Below are 19,099 nucleotides of genomic sequence, written 5' to 3' on the forward strand. Positions count from 1 at the left end.
GCGCCTGACTGACCTCCAATGTTTTGGGAGTGTGACACTTCGGGCATTCACCCTTGGCTGTACAGCTCACAGAGAGTTCTCTGCCACAGGGTCTAGGCTAGTGCAGCAAAGTGTGTAGCAGAAAATCCATCCTTGATGATATATCTAATTTTCTGACAGCAAATTATACCAGAAGATCCAGTCTCAGTTTCTCACCATTACATTAAAGTAACATAATGATTATCATTATAATACCTATGGAGCACAAAATTTTTACCTGTGTTGCTTTGATATCATTAAGTTGCACTGAGGGCATTTTTATCCATTTCAGTGGAGAGTGGAGAGCTCTCCAAGAGGTTCAGCCTCTAGGAGGTGTCACTGCAAGGGCAGCACCTATGTTTCCTGCCGAATGTTTTCACCAGAGGCCCTACATGGAATCCACTGTGGACAACTAAAGCCCAGTTAGTCTGGGGCAATGGGCAAGCTGCTTCATAATAAAACATCAATTGGCTGGATGCCTTTCCATGGAGATTTTCAGGCCAGAGTCTTACGAATTATAAAGACCAATATTTTGCTGTGGTGATCTAATGACATACAATTTAAAAGAGCTTCAAGAAGTGGAAAGGACTCTACATGTTCATGGTGTTAATAATCTTAACAACTATTATCACAAGTGCCCTGTAGATAAATGAACAGATAATGGTCTTGGAAATACACATAAAATATAGGCTGTCAACAGAACTGATGAAGAAAAACAAACCTTCACTTTTGTTTCTACGTATTATGTTGGTTAATATGAAAGGAAGTGCTTATGAGTTTACAAAGCAAGCTTTAAAACCTTTGTGAGATGATACTGTATGCTTGATTCATCCAACCACAGCATCTGCAGCCTTGGTAGGAGTAGAACAATTACAGGAGGAATGCCAAGAGAGACAAAGAGCCAGTTTTCAGCTTTTGACGTAAAAAAAAAAAGGGGGCCCAGAAGAAGGGGAGCTCAAAGCCCATCCATAAACAAATAGATTAAAAAGATAATAAATGATGAACTAGATATTTTGCTTTAAGGAGAGGATCCAGGCTCCAGACTGTCTCATCTGGGAGGCAGAGAGGCTGGGGTCACTTCTTTAAGGAAGGAAAGGCCAAGAGGCCTCTTGAGGCTGTAAGAACCATATGGGAGGAAAAAGAAAATTTCAGATATGGCTTTGCCCCTGCCCCAGGGAACTGAGATGGAGACAGGCCTAAGCCAGCAGATTGTCCTTGGCCATTCCAGGTGAGTTAGCCTCTGTTTTAGTTTTCTAGGGATGCCATAACAAAATACCACAGACTAGGTGGCTTAAACAACAGAAATGTATTTTCCCACAGTTCTGGAGGCTGGAAGTCCAAGTTCGTGGTGTCAGCAGGGTTGATTTCATTCTGATGCCTCTCTCTTTGGCTAGCAGATGGCTGCCTTCTCTCTGTGTCTTCACATGGTCTTCTATGTGCATGAGTTCCTTGTATCTCTCTTCTTATGAGGACACCAATCATATTGGATCAAGACCTACCCACAGGACCTCATTTAACCTTAATTATCTCTTAAAAGGCCCTGTCACCAAACACAGTCACATTCTGAGGTGTACTGGAGTTTAGAACTTCAGCATGTGAATTTGAAGAGACACAATTCAGTCTATACCAGCCTCATTAGGTTTTTGAAGGGTTGTATTCAATTTCTTTCACTTTAACATATGGCACGGGGTCTTACCACTATCAGCTGTCTGCCCACTGCTGGACAACTCACCAGCAGAAGGGATTTCCCTTGAGCTTTTGCTCAGTAGAAGAGAACTAAGTTGTGTAGACCACTTTCTCTTCAATGGCCAGGATTCCTGAATCTCCCCAGATAGCCTTTGATTTATGTTGGCCAACATAGTATGGCAGAAATGACATTTAACAGGTTCTGGCCTGTACTTCAAGAGGCTGTGGAGGCTTCTACCCTCTTTTGCAACCCTGTTGCCACTATATGAACAAGTCTGCATTAGCCTCCTGGAGAATGAGAGGTGGAGGCCACGTGGAGCCAAGATCACCATTCCAGCCCAGAACCCAGACATGGGAGGCAGTACAGCCAAGATCAGCGGAACCAATGCAGTAGCTGACTACAGACACCTGAGTAAGTCCAGTAGAGACCAGAAGAACCATTCAGCTGAACCCAGCCAGAAGTGCTGACCTGCAGAATCGGGGGCTAAATAAGTGGCTTTTGTTTTAAGTCACTAAGTATTGGAATAGTTTGTTATACAGCAAAAGCTAACAGTACACAGGGCCTAAAAGATACTCTCTTAGGCTCAAGTGGTAGAAGCATTGTCAAAGTCATGGAAAGGAGTTATCAGAGACCAATACCATGTTCTTACTAGTGATAATAGTTTGGAGTTGGGGGCAAGGGGAGCAGAAGTCTTGGGTTTGGGCACATCAATTTTGGAGAAAGGAAGGAAGTTTACTCTATTTTCAAATATTGCAAATCAGTGGTTTAAAAAAAATTTCTAGAAGTGGCAGCTTCTTTTCAAAAGAAATATTATACAGAAACTTCAATGTATGAAATAGACACAATTTGTAATTTATTGATATAAATCTAACATATGGTCAAATATATAAAATTGTTTAAAAAGTTAATCAATGAAAACAAGAAGGATAATACGATTATTAATGCAAACATTCAAAATTGGATGTAAGGGGAGACAGGAATAATCTTATTTTAGCACCCAATCAATTTCTATATATTATTTTGGTAGCAGAGTATTGAAAATCCTGATAAACATCTGTAAGTAGTTGCAGCAGGAAACAGCTTTTAACAGCTCACTTTGCAATCTCAGAATACTCCTCAATTAAACAAAGATGAGAGGAGAAGCCATCTGTCAGCACAGTTACTGGAGGCAGGATCATAATGGTGCATAACACAATTGGGTGTAGGTTTTCTTAAATTATATAAAAATTACCTTAAAGTATATTTTTTCAAAGTGAAAATTCAATCAATCATTTGCAGAAACTGTGAAGCACCTCCCAGAAGTTCATGAAGCACACTTGGAAAATTGTCTGATATTTCATTAGGGTAGACTTTGAAGAAGAAATTCGGAAGATGTGCAAAGCTTGGAAAACAGAGTTGCAAGGAGGCCTCAGGGGTCACAGACTCCCCCTCTTCCTTTCAAAAGCAGGAACTGAGGCCTGGGGAAGAAAACACTTTTCTCAGGACTTACACACAGGTATCTTCGCTCCCAGTTGAGACCTCTTTTTTCAGGAGAAAGAGACGTGAACCCGTGGGAGAAAGAGACATGAACCCGTGGGAGAAAGAGACATGAACCCGTGAAGGAGCTGGGTCCCCATCAGTTTCTTTTTTATGCTCTCACAAAAAGACCAAAGTCGCTTTAAAAGAATGCCCAAATAAAGATTCCTATTTCCTTGGGAGGATTTTAATAGTTGGTATAAAAAGTCTGCACATGTGAATTTATGATTGAATTTGCTTTCTAAAATTCTTAAAACCTTAGAGCAGCAGCCATAGGAGTCAGTGACTGTAGCAGACACAAGTTGAGAAACTTTCTGGTACCATGTTAGTCACTAAAGCCCCTCCACCACCCTGTCAGTCTGCATTTCCATCTTGGTTCGGGGGAACTGCTCTTCCCCACTCTGAGCCACGTGCTTCTAATGACTCCGCCTCCCTGGCATCAGTGATTGGTTGGACGGTGGGAATCAGCCTCCATCTGGGCCAACTGTAGCCCTCTGAAGCCTGGCTGTATTCCCAGACCTGGCCCAATGAGCATCTTTGCCCAGGATCTTTCTTTTTGGAAATCAGAGAAACCTTCTCTGTCTAGTCCCAAGGCTTTGGGTACATGGGCCACAGGAAGGGATGAAGATAAGCAGATGAACTATGGAAAGAGGGAATAGAGACAAAGACACAGAGTCCAAGGACTCTGTTTTGTTTTGTTTTGTTTTGTTTTGTTTTGAGAGGGAGTCTCACTCTGTGGCCCAGGCTGGAGTGCAGTGGCGCGATCTCGGCTAACTGCAAGCTCCACCTCCTGGGTTCACGCCATTCTCCTGCCTCAGCCTCCCGAGTAGCTGGGCGCCCGCCGCCACGCCCGGTTAATTTTTTTGTATTTTTAGTAGAGACGGGGTTTCACCGTGTTAGCCAGGATGGTCTCAATCTCTTGACCTCGTGATCCGCCCGCCTCGGCCTCCCAAAGTGTTGGGATTACAGGCGTGAGCCACCGCACCCGGCCCCAAGGACTCTTTTTAATGCTGTGAGGGCAGTTCCTTCTGCCCTTACTGAGGTTTGGTTACTGAGTCTAAAACTTCCTTTTCTTCCTACAGTGAGTTTGAATTGGGTTTCTGTCACATGAAACCGCAGAATCCTGATGAATGTGGGGAATACTTAAAAAATATAATGACTTATTTGCTAGTGATAGAGACAGGAGACAGCTAAGGGTCCCTGGCGAAACCCCACCTTCAAGCCTAAAACAGCCTGAAGGCTGAACAACCGGACTGCTGGTCCCAGATGAAGCCCTCCCTTTCCCAGCTGATCCTTTCTTAATCACGCCGACCTGCGCCTGCGCACTGGGAGGATGGGGGTGGAGCCTCGGGAAGGTCACCCCGTTTGCGTGGGGAGGAGCCTGGCCTCTCCTGTTCCTGTGTGGTGACCTGGGATTCAGTCTGTGAGGCGGGAAATTTGCTAGCAGGACTCTCTCTTGCTCTGCTGAGAGGTATCTTTCTTTTTTCCTTTTTGCCCAGTAAATTCCGTTTTCCTCACCCTTCTATGTGTCCGTGAACCTAATCTTTCCTGGTGGTGTGAAAAGAGCCCAGTTTTAGCTGAACTAAGGAGAAAGTTCTGCAACAGTAAGAAAATGAACATATGCACTGGATGCAGATTTTGCATGAAACTTAAGGGAAAAATGGACCTCACCAACTGGACTCAGTGGGATCCAATGACCCCAATTACAAAACTTCTGCAATGAAACTCTGGTTAACAAGGGGCTGGATTTGATTATGGAATTGAGGTTGGTCAATCTAACTTTTCTCCTATCTGAGTGCTCAGGGCTGCATGGAATGTGAAAATAAGCAGCTACTGGTTGTGCATAATTCTGAGCTATGAGTTAACTATGAATGGGGTTAAAAAAAAGTACGTGAGCCAGCTGTGGAGGCAGATAGACATACTTTCCCTATGGGATTTATGAGTATTCAGCCACTGAAGAAAATCAGAATTATAAAAAAATTCCGTTTCAACTGGTGAAACTGAGACCCTGTAAGGACACTTGAATTGGCCAGGAGAGACAATCTGTCCCTCCGTATATATTCCATTTTGGTTGGTATCATCAAAAAGATTTACCTACAACCTGTGGAGCTCAACCTAGGTGTTGACGATTGAAGGTAAATTTGCAATCTGAGAGCTGCGCTTCACTTGCCAGGGCTGAACAGCGCTGTTTTTCTTCAGTGGACATCTTTCCTATCCCATCAACCTCTCCCAAGCTTTTAAAAATCTCATCTCTTTCCACACCACCTTGTTTTTCATGATCCAGCTTCTCAGTCCATGTACCCTGTGCCAACACTTCTTAAATTTCTTTTTTACTTTCCGTATTTTGCTGAATTTTATTACAGGCTCTTGGCTTCTTAGGAACAGTACTCCTCTACTATGCTGTGTTCCCTGGGGCCTCTTAAATTTATTATCTGGCTTATTGCTAGTGAATTCAATAAAACAGGCTTTTCCCTGGGACTTGACTTTGCCTCTTGCTCAAGCCCGAGTCTACTGGCTGCCCCCAGTGCTTGGTCTCCAAAGCCAGGCTACAGGGATTGAAAGTCAGGGATGCTGCCATCTCCATAGCACTTCAAACTCAGTTCTGTCCTGATTTCACATTTCAACTATAGGATGTTCTGCCAAGTGACAGGGCACAAAAAGAGCTAAGCCTCTTTTCTGTACTGTGGTTTTCATTAAGTGCATATGTGTGTGCCTGCCTATAATAACAGGTAAGAACTTATGTCTAGTAACTTCTGTTCTGCTACAGCTGCAGCTGGTTAGAATGTTATCCCTACTTGGCTTTTGGCCATATGCAAGCCTACTTCAGCAGAATCCGCAGGCTCTCATCAGCCTCTAGCTTAATGAATAATTACAAAAAATACAGGTCAGCACCTGCCAAGGGGGCAGAGCAGGGATAGCTTTGGCTAAATCAAGGTCTCTGTATTTCCCATTTTTCTTTAATGCAAGACTTCTTGGCTGCTCTTCCTCAGAAAGCACAGGAAGCTGAAGAAATTCCCTCTTTTCTTGGCAAATGATGCTTTCTCAACTTTCCTTCATGGCTTTTTTTGACATTGATTTTATTTAGGCTACTGCAATAAGAAGAGCACTCCACATCCAAATTTCAGAATGTCTCAGCAGGGTGGTTTTGCTCTAGACTTCTACAGGGAGGAGTAGACAAGTGGGATGATTTTACAGTTGGAATTGTTTTTGTTCAAGGCTATTTTCAAAGAAGATAACAGGCCATTGACTAACAGCCCCCAAATCCTGGTGTCATCTGTTTCCAATGATTTGTTCCACAGATATTTACTCTGGCTCTGCAACAGCTATATTAGAGCGACCAGGGCAAGCTGGGGGCTTTTCATGCCAAGGGCAAGTGACCATTCCTTCTCACATGAAGCTCCAGACAGCTTCCATGAAGTTACAGCTGGACATAGTGGAAAATCAAAAAATTATATGGTACATATGGAGAGGATGTATATAGTCAGGGAGGGACCACAGTGGGGAGAGGTATTCAGAAAAGCCTTCCCAAAGGAGGAAAAGCTGGGACATCTGGGCATCAAAGGACATAGGGTGGTGGAGCTGGTGGTTAAGAGCATGGATTCTGAAGCCAGACCCTTTGGGTATAAACCCTGCCTGTGGTTTTCTAGCTGCCTGACTTTGGGCAGGTTATATAACTTTCTCGTTTCCAGTTTCCTCTATAAAATGAAGTAAAGAGCAGTACTGGCCGGGCGCGGTGGCTCACGCCTGTAATCCCAGCACTTTGGGAGGCCGAGGCGGGCGGATCACGAGGTCAGGAGATCGAGACCATGGTGAAACGCCGTCTCTACTAAAAATACAAAAAGTTAGCTGGGCGTAGTGGCGGGCGCCTGTAGTCCCAGCTACTCGGGAGGCTGAGGCAGGAGAATGGCGTGAACCCGGGAGGCGGAGCTTGCAGTGAGCCGAGATCGCGCCACTGCACTCCAGCCTGGGCGACAGAGCGAGACTCCGTCTCAAAAAAAAAAAAACAAAACAGTATTGTATTTGTCTTCTATTGCTGTATAACAGAGTACCACAAACCTAGTAACTTAAAACAACACTCATTAATTAGCTCACAGTTTTGTAGGTCAGATGTCCAGCTTGGTGTGGCTGTATGCTTTGCACAGGGACTTAGCTGAATTTAAGGTGGTGTCTAGGTTGATTTCTCATCTGGAGGTTCTGGGGAAAAAAATCTGCTTCCAAGCTCATTCTTGGTGGTGGCAGAATTCTTTTCCTTGTGGCAGTAGGACTGTAGTCCCTGTTTCCTTGCTGGCTGTCAGCTGGGGCTAATCTTAGCCTAAAGATTGCTCCTATCCCTTGCCACATGGCCCCTCCATCTTCAATCAGCAATGGCTCATCAAATCCTTATTCTGCTTTGAATCTCACTTCCTCTCCTGTGATCAGCCCAAGAAAACTCTCTGCTTTAAATCATTCATGGATTAGGTCACGCTAACCAGATAATCTCCATATCCCAAGGGTAACTGGTACGGGGCCTTAATTACATCTGTAAAATCCCTTTATAGCAGTACCCATATTAGCAGTGGGCTGAACAACTAGGAGAGGTGTGTATGCCAGGGCTGGAAATCTTGGAAGGCTGTCTTGGAATTCCATCTACCACATGCACCTATTTCTACAGAGGTTATGAGGCTTAAAATAAGTGTATGTAATGTGCCTGGCACATAACAAGCATGTTTTAGGTAGGAGCATTTGCATGCAAAAAATTAGCCACTTGGGTTCTCAGGATTGATGAGAACTTGGTTGTGGTGAAAGAAGAGTGTTGTTAGGAACAATGGAACAGCCTCTGGTTCTCAGCTGAAGGGCTTCATTTTGATCTATTTGGAAGCAGGAAGTGCCTGTCTTTCTTGGATGAATGACACTGATGCTCTCCCTGATTTAGGTTTTTGCTGTGGCAACAGCAGTGAGGACAGGCTTTGGAATGAGGGAGAAAAAACCTGATAATGGCCGTCTGGACCAGCCCTCTCAGAAACCATCTGCTTGAAGCTTTTGATTCTGAGAGGAGTGGAGAGGTTTCCTCCAACTACAAGTTCAGGGATTTGGAAACCACTAAAATAATATCTTTTCCAAAACTAGTCCAGCAAGGCTCTAATTGGGAGAAATGGGAAATGGAAGTCAGGCTCCCCACTCTCTCTGCTAACCACACACGGGCCGTGGTTGAGGTCCATTTCCAAATCACAGGAGGCCACTTCCTGTCTTAGCTTAGCATTGTTGGCGGGAGAATCTAACAAGGGGCCAAGGCCCTGTTGACTCTGGGAGAGAAGCAAATGGCCACCATCCATGAGTAAGAACCTGGACTTTCATCCAGCCTGCGGGTTGAATTGCCTGCTCACAAGAAATCTAGGTTCAGAGCGTTCTAGGGCAGGCACAAAATAAGCAGGACAGAGATAAAAAGATGGGAGTGAGAATGGAGAGATTGTATTTTTCCTTCCACAGATGCCATGGGGGAGCTGGGGCAGGGAGGAGCTTATCTTCCCCAAGCTCCTAGACGAGGCAATTCTTATTTCTAGCTGAATTCCTTTTCATCTCTCCTGACTTCTTCTCCACCCTTCTCCTCTATCTGCCTTGGCTTCTGGATCTTCTCAAAGCATCCCCCAGAAAAACTTCAGCCAACTTACTCCCTTTGACCAACTGTCATTTTTGAAAAGCTGCCCAGTCTCTTTGCGGTGATTTTCAAAGAGAGACCCAGGACTAGGTTTTCTTTCAGTGACAGCAATAGGTAGGAGGAGGGGTGAAGAAGACAGGAGTTTCTGATGTGGGAAACCACACACACACACACACACACCCCTAAGAAATGCTGAATCTGTAATTGCAAGACAATATAACCTTCCTGACATCTGAGGAAGATGTCAAGAAAGAAAAGCAAAAACTCATATTTGTGTTATAGCTGCTGGGGTTTCTACATTAGGGAGAGCTGACCCTGTTTGACCTTGCCTGTCGAGACCAGAGGGTTACAGAGAGACTGACCAAAGATATGTGGCCAAAAGGCCAATCATATGTGGGCAAAACTGGCCAAGCTGATCAGTTTGACACGTCAAAAGACAGATGTTGTCTGACTTGGGCAGCTTGTGGGCCAGAGAAGAAATCCAAAGCTCAGTATCTAAGAATGCAAAGGCGAGCAACAGTGTGAACCATCACCTGTGCTCCAGGTAAAGCCTGCCTGCCCTGCGTCATCACTTATTCAAGCAAAGGACTAAGAGCAGCACAATTCTGGCTTGTTAGTGTATGGCCTGAAAGTGAAGACTTCATTTCCCTTCTTCCCTGTGCACTTTCCTCGTCACTGTTCAATACAGGTGCCAAATGTGTCATCATGCTTGATGGAGCCTGGCGTTGGCTGGCTGGCTGTGATCAGCAGCTGACCACCTGACAGAAACACTTTCCCTAATTACATTTTTAACTTGGATTGTGCCACACTTAGTTACATTTTTGGGGGGAAAAGAAAGGAAGGGAGGGAAGAACAGTGAGTGAAGGAGGTTTGCAGAAAGCTTCAGGGCCAGATAGCACACAGACAGCCCACCTTAAAAATCAACACATCTTCCCATTTGTAACTTAACTACATGTCTAAATGTTGACATCCAGTGAACAAATATTAATTAAAAACCCAAGACATTCAAAACTGCACAAATGTCATCTTCCATTGTGTGAAATCAAAAAGGAACGTGTGGGTGAGTGGGGAGGTGGGGAGACACACCATAACCTACCTCTTATTGGTAATGAGCTTGAATTGTGGAAGGATACTTTCTGACTTCATACCATTTCTTATTAGTATGATGGTCAAAATTACAAAAAAAAAAAAAAATCACTCAGACTAATGGTCTCTTGTGGGCAAGTGGCGAAGAACACTGATTTGGCTTATTTTATTCTCTGTACTTCTCCTGGTGTGGTGGACAGTTTGCTGATACAATTATTTTGGATAGGACTTCATGTTAGGTATTGGCATGGAGGCATCCACATTTTTTTTTTTTGAGATGGAATCTCACTGTGTTGCCCAGGCTGGAGTAGAGTGGCACGATCTCTGCTGACTGCAACTTCCACCTCCTGGGTTCAAGTGATTCTTCTGCCGCAGCCTCCTGAGTAGCTGGGATTACAGGTGCCCACCACCATGCCCAACTAATTTTTGTATTTTTAATAGAGATGGGATTTCACCATGTTGACCAGTTTGGTCTTGAACGCCTGACCTCAGGTGATCTGCCTGCCTCAGCCTCCCAAAGTGCTGGGATTACCAGTGTGAGCCACTGTGCCTGGCCCTCATATGTTTATAAATCACTAGATTTTAAATATTGGCAGGGCTACAAACAAGGAGAGCTTGTCTGTGAAGAGAAAAACAATTAGCAAGGTCCTTCATTGTTTCTTCCTCTGCTGTCCATTCTATTTATTTGTCTGCTGCTAGGATCTAGGGGTGTCCTCGACCCTGCACATAATGGCAGGCCCCCTGTCTTCATCAGCACTGCTACATCCTCATATTTGGCAGGGAGCACTCTCATTTAAGGTAATGAGTGACTCCCTTTCACAATAGAACTCTGAGTGTGGCTCAAATTCACCCTGGCTAATGAATCTTCTGTATGGTTTTTTTTTTTTTTTTTTCTGAGGCAAGGTTTCACTGTCACCTAAGCTGGAGTGCAGTGGCACAGTCATGGCTCACTGCAGCCTCAACCTTCTGGGCTCAAGCAATCCTTCTGTCTCAGTCCCTCAAGTGACTAGGACTACAGGTATGTGTCACCACTGGCTATTTTTTTTGTTTGTTTTTTGAGACGACATCTTACTATGTTGCCCAAGCTCATCTTGAACTCCTGGGCTCAAGTGATCCTCCCTCTGCCTCTGCCTCCCAAAATGTTGCGATTACAGGTGTGAGCCACCCTGCCCGGCCTTGTGTTTCATTTTTAACCCTGATATAAGTAACAACACATCTGCTTATTAATATGTTCATGTTAACATTTACTATCCAGTTTGGGTGGAAGGAGAGTGTTCTCTGCCTCTGAGGTCCAGTTTTAACATTTATAAGTGCAGCGGGTCCTCCTGTTGTGGCCCACAAACCTTACTTGGGAAAATGTCACATTTGAGCAACCACACAAAACTACTCTGTGATCTCTGAATATAGTAAGGTCACCAGCCCCCACTTGATCTTCTGTTAAATGACCAAGATCATTTCTGGTCAGAAAGTATGTGTGTTTTTGCGAGTTTTTTTTGTCTTTGTTGACACATAATGGTGTAGAAATCAAGCTTAAAACTGATTGTAGAACAGTTTGGTGAGAAAGATTTTTGCTTTTCTGCCATAATATTCCCCTGGACTTTGCTTCGGGTCCAAAGTAACACCGGGAAGTTTAAGACCACAGAAATGTGACTAAATGAATGCTGATCACATTTACAAAAGCAAGTGACTTTGTCCAAAGTCTCTCATTCTCAGATCCATAGTAGACATATAGATACTTTTTCTAAGGGCAAAATTTCCTGGTTCACTAAGCCAGACTTCCATGTTATTGACGAAATAAAGATAATATTGAAAATGACAGTGTCTGAGAAGCAATCTCAAACTGCCTTTTATTACTGCACACAGTTAACGTGGAATTGAGAATCACTTTCTTTCTAACATAAAATGTGAGCCGTAGAGTTACTACTGAAATTCACCACAGTGATTCAGCCAACAACTCAACTTATTCCTTTGCAAAAATTTCTGAAGGTTTTTTTTTCTCCCTTCAATCTCAGCATTACAAAATAATGAGCAAACAGTTAAATTGGCCCAGCTCTGAGTTTCAAGAGAGATTTATGGTCTGCTCATCCTCTGGAGGGACCATAAAACCACCGATGACATCTTACTTTGAAATCTCTTGTATTAAGTAAAGAGATGGGTGTGGTGCGATAGTGAACTCTGCATGTGAGTGGTATTTAGACAAGTTCTGTACTTCAAAACAGAGTCCTTAACTCATACGAAGGCTTCCTGCCACTAGCAAGGGATCTCAGTAATGAGCGTGCTGCCTTCCCTAACACCCCCATCCTTTTCCAGAAAGATTCTTAATTTTATCCTAAATATATTTGATATTTTTTCCTCTGTATTTTGCTTTGGGTTTAAAAAATTCCCTGAAAGATTTTTTTCTCGTCTGTGGAAGCATCAAGCCGCAGATCCAAGTCAGTCCAAATCACCAGGATCATACAAGACGATAAAAGTGCCTTCAAGTTCTAATACTTGCTGGATGGGCCCAAGCCGCGTTTTAAATGTGAACAATGGGGTGGCTGCGGCAGAGAACTGACCATTTACTTCCTGCCTCAGATGACCCCCTTGTGATCTCTGAAACTGGGCAGAGGAATAAGGAAAGGGAAAGAACTGGGTTTTGGGGAGAAACATGCTTTCTGGAAGGCGCCCAGGTTTACCCAAAGAGCACAGTTAAGTGCTGAATTTCAACTAGCTCTGGAGTCACCCTGTTTGGGGCCTCATTCTGGAAACCCGAAGTCCAGCGGCAGCTTTCCTCCACATCAGGACAGAGAGTGGGGTTTGGGAGCGGACGAGGGAGCGGGAGTGGACGAGGGAGCAGGAGTGGGGCTCAACGACGACCCAGGCGCTCAAGGGGAAGGGGCTGAGAGCGTTTCTTCGCTGTGCGGCTGCAATAGAAACTTTTTCCTCGTACTATCTGACTCCGGGACTGGACTGTGAGGTCTGCAACAGCTGGTGGGGTTCGGGTGGGGAACACACTCTAAGCCCAGCGCCAGGGCTGGAGCCGTGGGTGGAGCCGCTGCAGCCCTGGGCCGGGGGCGTCAGGAAACTCGAGACTGGGGCGCGGGGAGGCCCCGGCCAGAGCGCCCGCTCTCCCGCGTCCCGGGCGGGGTCCTCACCTGTTCCAGCGGGCCACCTTCCTCCGGTAATACCGCAGCGCCTCCTGGCTGGCCAGGAGCGAGTCCTCGGCTCCCAGGAGAGGCGGCTCCTCCGGGACGTTGTACAGCGGGTGGGCGAAGAGGGCCTGCAACTTGGAGCTCGACCCGCTGTGGCTGCCGCCAGCCGGTTCAGTCCGGGGCTCGGTTCGGGAAAAGTTGTGCACGATCGTGCCGGGGTCCGAGGCAGCTGCGGCCGAGTCCCGCGCCAGGGAGGAGGCGCGGCCGGTGCACGGGCACCCCCGCGGGCGCTCCCGAGGCCGCAGCTGGCGCTGTACTTGGGGCCAGAGGTGGAAGTAGAGGTCGGCGGAGAGCAGCGCGCCCAGCAGCAGCAGAGTCAGTAGGCGGTCCCGGCGCAGCCCCGGCATGGCGTGCTGGCCAAGGGGGACGCCGGGGGCAGGCCGGCTGTCTCCGGGGTCCCGGGAGGGGTCGCGGGGTGCGGGCAGAAGAGGTGCCTGGAGTCCCGCGGGTGGGCCGGGGTCAGTGAGACCGGAATGCTCCCCGCGCGGGCTAGTCCCCTGTGGAGGGGTGTCGCTCCTCAACTTGGGGACCAGGTGCACGGAGCACCGGGGCTCTCGGAGTCAGCGGGCGTCGCTTCTCCGCGCCGAGTGAGCCGAGGGAATGGGGTTCCCGGGGTGCCCGCTTCTTGCGCCTTTTCTCCCGTGCGCCCGCCCGCCCGGACGCTCGCGGCAGGTGAAGGGCCCCGGGGCGCCGGCGCCGGCTGCCACCGCGGGCGGACGGGCGACGGGGCGGGGGGCGACCGCGGAGGGCGGACGGAGGCCGCCGGCTGCAAAGCCCGGGGCGTCTCTCCTGAGGATGCTGTCGCTCGGCGGCGGCTGCTAGTGCTCCCGCGACTCCTCCTGCGGGCGGCGGAGACGCCAGTGCCGGCGGCTGGCACGGGCGGCGCGAGTGGGGAGTTGGCGAAGCAGGAGCGGCTCCGGGGAGCTTGTCTGTGCGCCTGGACTCCTAGAGGCAGAGGTAGCGCGGGGCCTCCCCGAGCCTGGCCTGGCGCCGGCACCCCCACCCACTCTCCGCTGGCACCTGCCTCTGGCGCAGCTGACGGCCAACTCCCGATCCGAAGCCGGCGCTGCCCTTGCACCTTGTCACCCACCCACTGCCTGCGCCCTCCCCCTCGCTCGGGCCTCCCACTTTCCCTGCCCAGGTCTCAATCCAGTCACTTTAAGGGACTCACGCGAGGGGTCCGAAGCCTCTTTTTACCATTTCTATTATTTTTAGGGAAAAAAAAACCACCACAAGCCCCCTAAAACCCTTTTTTTCCTGTAAGCTTTGCCAAATGAGTGTGTGGGGGGGGGTGGGGGGAGGCGGGGGTGGCAGTGTTGGTATCTGTTCTTTCTTTGTGTTCCCTTCCACCTCCGCCCCCCTGCAGAGCGCAGGGCACATCAAGATTCATAACAACTACCTACCACATGCCTGGCACATAGTAGGTGCTCAGGAAACACGCTCTTGGTGAAGGAAAGAGCTTGACCTTTAAAAGTAAGGTATCAGTTTTACCTAGAATCTTGCTGATTTCCTGTTTGGAAGGAGTTTGATTCCAACTCTGCCTGTACTTTAAAAAGAGGAAATGTTTCTTGCACTCAGGGAGGGAGGGGCCCTGATGACCCCACTCCGAACTTTTGAGTTTAGCTTGGTGTGAAAGTAGTCCACCCAAATGAATCACTGGAGGACACATTTAGGCTTTCTCCAATATTCTGTGAGGTAATGTACCCTCCCCACACCCAGTTTTCCTTTTGAAGAAGAGGGAGGGAGTCCTGAACTCCTGGCTCCTCTATTTAATGACCCCATAGTATAGTAAAGTGAAGTCTGATTGGAGAGGCGGCCCCACCCTGCTGAATTTCAGGAAATCCACCAGAAGCTGCTTGCCCAGGCAGCAAAGCTTCCCATGTAAGTTAGTTCTACTCTTTAACCCCCTCCCTTCCCTTGCTGGAATTGAGAACCCTCAGACATACTTTGACTTGTGGGTTCAGACCAGAGTTCTTTTCCCCGTGGTTCAGTGTAAGATTTCTTCGGGACTTTGCAGTCTCCTCAAATGTAAATGAAGATAATGATGGAACCTACCTCCTAAGGTTATTATGAGACTTAAATGAATTGAAGTACAATTATGTGTCACGTCTGAGAAATGCATCCTTAGGCAATTTTCCTGTGTGTGTGAACATCAGGGTGTACTTACACAAACCTAGATGGTTCAGCCTACTACACACGGAGGCTACATGGCATAGCCTGTTGATCCTAGGTACAAACCTGTACAGCATGCGACTACTGAATGCTGTAGGGAGTTGTAACACAGTGGTGAGTACTTGTGTGTCTAAACATAGGAAACATACAGTAAAAATACAGTATTGTAATCTTATGGGACCACTGTTGCATTGACTAAAATGTTATGTGGCACTTGACTATGTATAAATTACTTAGAAGAGCTCCTAACTCATCCTAAATAAGTGTGAAATATGTGTTTGCTATCATTATGATTACTTATTAGTTCCTGTAGTACACTAGGCTTGGTTAGAGACTGCTCATCGCTAGGACAAAAATAGAAAAGGATGGAAAAGGAAGATAGCAGGAAGGAACCTGCTTTCAGGGGCATAACATTGTGGCCTGAGTGCCCAGTCCAAGTGAAAAAGCCCAAGACGGTACTATTCCCAGCTACTCCACTCCTCTGGGTATGATGGTGGGCATTTTGAGGGGTTCTAGAACCTCCTCCTTTTTATCTGGAATTAAATTTTAACTGATTTCCAATTTCTGAGAGACGTTGCAACTTCTAATGTGTTTAATTAGATGTCATGGCAAGCGAATGAAGAAGTCAGGCATTGAATGGTGGTGATGTAACTGCAGTAACTGTGTGGCAAACTGATGCGCATTTTTCTCGGCTGGCAAAGGACGTGGATGTGGTGACACTGCAGGTCTTGTGACTTCAATTCTCCTCAACCCATGGGGTCATACTCGCTTAGTAGACTCTTTTTTTTCTGGCCCCAATTTAGGGAACAATAGTGTAACTTGCTTGGAAATTATGTAAACATATTTTCCATGCCCTTTAAAGGTCACAGTCAAGTGCAGAACTGCATGTGGGAGTTAGATATTAAGTGTGAATGAAGCTGGATAGGAGAGTGGAAATCCTACCAGTAGGATTGGCCAATAGGATGTTGGCTTCCTCAGGTTTGCCTCTAATCTACCTTTACCCCTCCTAGAAATGAGCCTTCTCCTGCTCCTCCGATCTTCCATGTCTTGGGCCCTGGCTTACTTGCCAGCCTCACATACATCCTCTCCGTTCACACTGAAGGTATCCTAAATTGCTGTTTGCTGGGACCCATCATTCTGTTTAAAATCTTTCATTGGAAGCCCCTCCCTCCTTTTCCATCTCTACTGATCTTGATGTATCTAGAGCCTCATAATCTCTTGCTCATACTTGCAAATAGGCTTCTAACTGGTCCCTCTGCTTCCATGGTACCTTAGTTCAGTGCCCACACACACTCTTGCCAGAGTGAGACTTCTAGTATGCAGAGGCAACCAGGATATTCTCCTCCTGAAAACCCCCTGAGCTTCTCCTTGTTGCTGGATTAGGTCACTCATTGTGACACAGCTCTTCGTGGTCTGGCTTCTACCTCCTTTCTTCTTTATATGCCCCCTCTTTCGTCTTCACCCCACAAGACTTTCTGCAATTCCCAAGTGCTCCAACCTTGTAGGGGTGGGTTGCCCCTCCACACCTGTGGGTGTTTCTCATAAGGTGGAACGAGAGACTTAGGAAAGAAAAAGACACAGAGACAAAGTATAGAGAAAGAAATAAGGGGACCCGGGGAACCAGCATTCAGCATATGGAGGATCCCCCCAGCCTCTGAGTTCCCTTAGTATTTATTGATCATTTGTGGGTGTTTCTCGAAGAGGGGGATGTGTCAGGGTCACAAGACAATTGTGGGGAGAGGGTCAGCAGACAAACACGTTAACAAAGGTCTTTGCATCATAGACAATGTAAAGGATTAAGTGCTGTGCTTTTAGATATGCATACACATAAACATCTCAATGCTTTACAAAGCAGTATTGCTGCCTGCAGGTCCCACCTCCAGCCCTAAGGCGGTTTTTCCCTATCTCAGTAGATGGAGCATACAATCGGGTTTTATACCGAGACATTCCATTGCCCAGGGACAGGCAGGAGACAGATGCCTTCCTCTTGTCTCAACTGCAAGAGACATTCCTTCCTCTTTTACTAATCCTCCTCAGCACAGACCCTTTACGGGTGTCGGGCTGGGGGACGGTCAGGTCTTTCCCTTCCCACGAGGCCATATTTCAGACTCTCACATGGGGAGAAACCTTGGACAATACCTGGCTTTCCTAGGCAGAGGTCCCTGCGGCCTTCCGCAGTTTTTGTGTCCCTGGGTACTTGAGATTAGGAAGTGGTGATGACTCTTAAGGAGCATGCTGCCTTCAAGCATCTGTTTAACAAACCACATCTTGCACCGCCCTTAATCCATTCAACTCTGAGTTGACACAGCACATGTTTCAGAGAGCACGGGGTTGGGGGTAAGGTCACAGAATCTCAAGGCAGAAGAATTTTTCTTAGTACATAACAAAATGGAGTCTCCTATGTCTACTTCTTTCTACACAGACACAGTAACAATCTGATCTCTCTTGCTTTTCCCCACACAACCTCTCACAGATGTGTCTTTAACCGAAAGCTCTTTCTCCTTTCCCCACCTGGAAAACACCCATTAGTCCACCCAAGCTTTGGCCACTTGTCCAATTTTTCTCTGATGCTTGTCTTCATACCCATTAAACTCAGTGCCTTGTGCTCTCATGTGCCCCCACAGCTCCTCATATGTTCCCCTATTACAACGTTGGCCATGTTGGGTTTCCTTTTTAGTATGTGTTATGGGTTGACTATATCCTGCTCTCAAATTCACTTGTTGAAATCCTAACCTCCAATACTTCAGGACGTTACCTTATTTGGAAATAGGGTTGTTGTAGAAATAATTAGTTAAGCTGATAGCGTACTAGTGTAGAGTGGACCCTTAATGCAATATGACTTGTGTCCTTATAAAAAGGAGAAATTGGGACACAGAGACATGCATACAGGGAGAATGCCCTATGAAGATAAAAGACAGATTGGGCAATTCTTCTATAAGCCAAGGAATACCAAAGACTGCCAGCAAACACAAGAAGCTAGGTAAGAGGCATGGAACAAATTTGTCCCTCACAGCCCTCAGAAGAGTCCAACTCTACTGACACCTTGACCTTGGATTTATAATTCTAGAACTGTGAGACAATAAATTTCTGTTGCTTAAGCCACCCAGCTTGTGGCACTTTGTTACAGCAGCCATTGCAAATTTACACAGTACACATGTCTGCCATCTTCACTGGAGCACTACTCCTGAGTGTAGAGGGAGAATGCTACTTATATATGTACACAGAGCTCTGAGGATGGGGCCTATCATTTGAGAAATGCTCAAGAAATGTTTGCTGAGTGAAGGCAGAGATATTGGCCATCTCTACAACTGTAGAATCTCGCATATGGCCTAGTATACAGTAGGGGCTAAATTATTGTTTACAATAAGATGACATAGCTTTGGACCCTGTAGGAGACATAAAGAAATATATGACACAATTCCTTCCTGCCTTCAAGAGTCTTGTGATCATCAGAGAGTCCAGCTATACCTGTACTCACAAGCCAATGGGAAAAAAGTATGAGGTAGTACACAGAGCAGATTAGCAATCTGTGCCATTGCATGCATTAAGAGGAGCAAATGCAAAGGGCAGTTGTGTTTCCTTTCAGTCTAGCTAAATATCAAGCTCTCTACTTGCAGGAGTTAAATCATGAAAACAATAGAGTCAACATTTAAACACCAAGTTCCTCTATCTGTGAAGGTTAGACTCTATTTTTATCTTGCCCATGTTCCCGTGTTGCTTAGAACTTGACTAGTTGTTTTTTGTTTGTGTAGGCAGTTTTCTATACTAGACTATAACTCCATGAGTTCAAGGGTA

General features: G+C 46.4%; 1 protein-coding gene across 9 annotated transcripts in view; it reads right to left on the reverse strand.

The window, feature by feature from the left end:
* Positions 1-14,180, reverse strand: part of FAM20A (FAM20A golgi associated secretory pathway pseudokinase) — a 66,252-nt gene extending 52,072 nt beyond the window's left edge. For 8 of the 9 annotated variants that reach the window (XR_002958041.2, XR_934487.4, XR_001752543.3 and 5 more), the window contains exon 1: positions 13,076-14,180. Coding sequence is in view for 4 of the 9 variants with exons in the window: in NM_017565.4 (NP_060035.2) it covers positions 13,076-13,479 (404 nt within the window). In the remaining 5 variants the exon portion in view is untranslated. Of the gene's footprint in view, positions 1-2,936; positions 3,163-13,075 lie in introns of all 9 variants that reach the window. The other variant, NM_001243746.2, reaches the window with a different exon arrangement.

Source organism: Homo sapiens, chromosome 17 (assembly GCF_000001405.40).
Source record: "Homo sapiens chromosome 17, GRCh38.p14 Primary Assembly".
Classification (NCBI taxonomy): domain Eukaryota; kingdom Metazoa; phylum Chordata; class Mammalia; order Primates; family Hominidae; genus Homo; species Homo sapiens.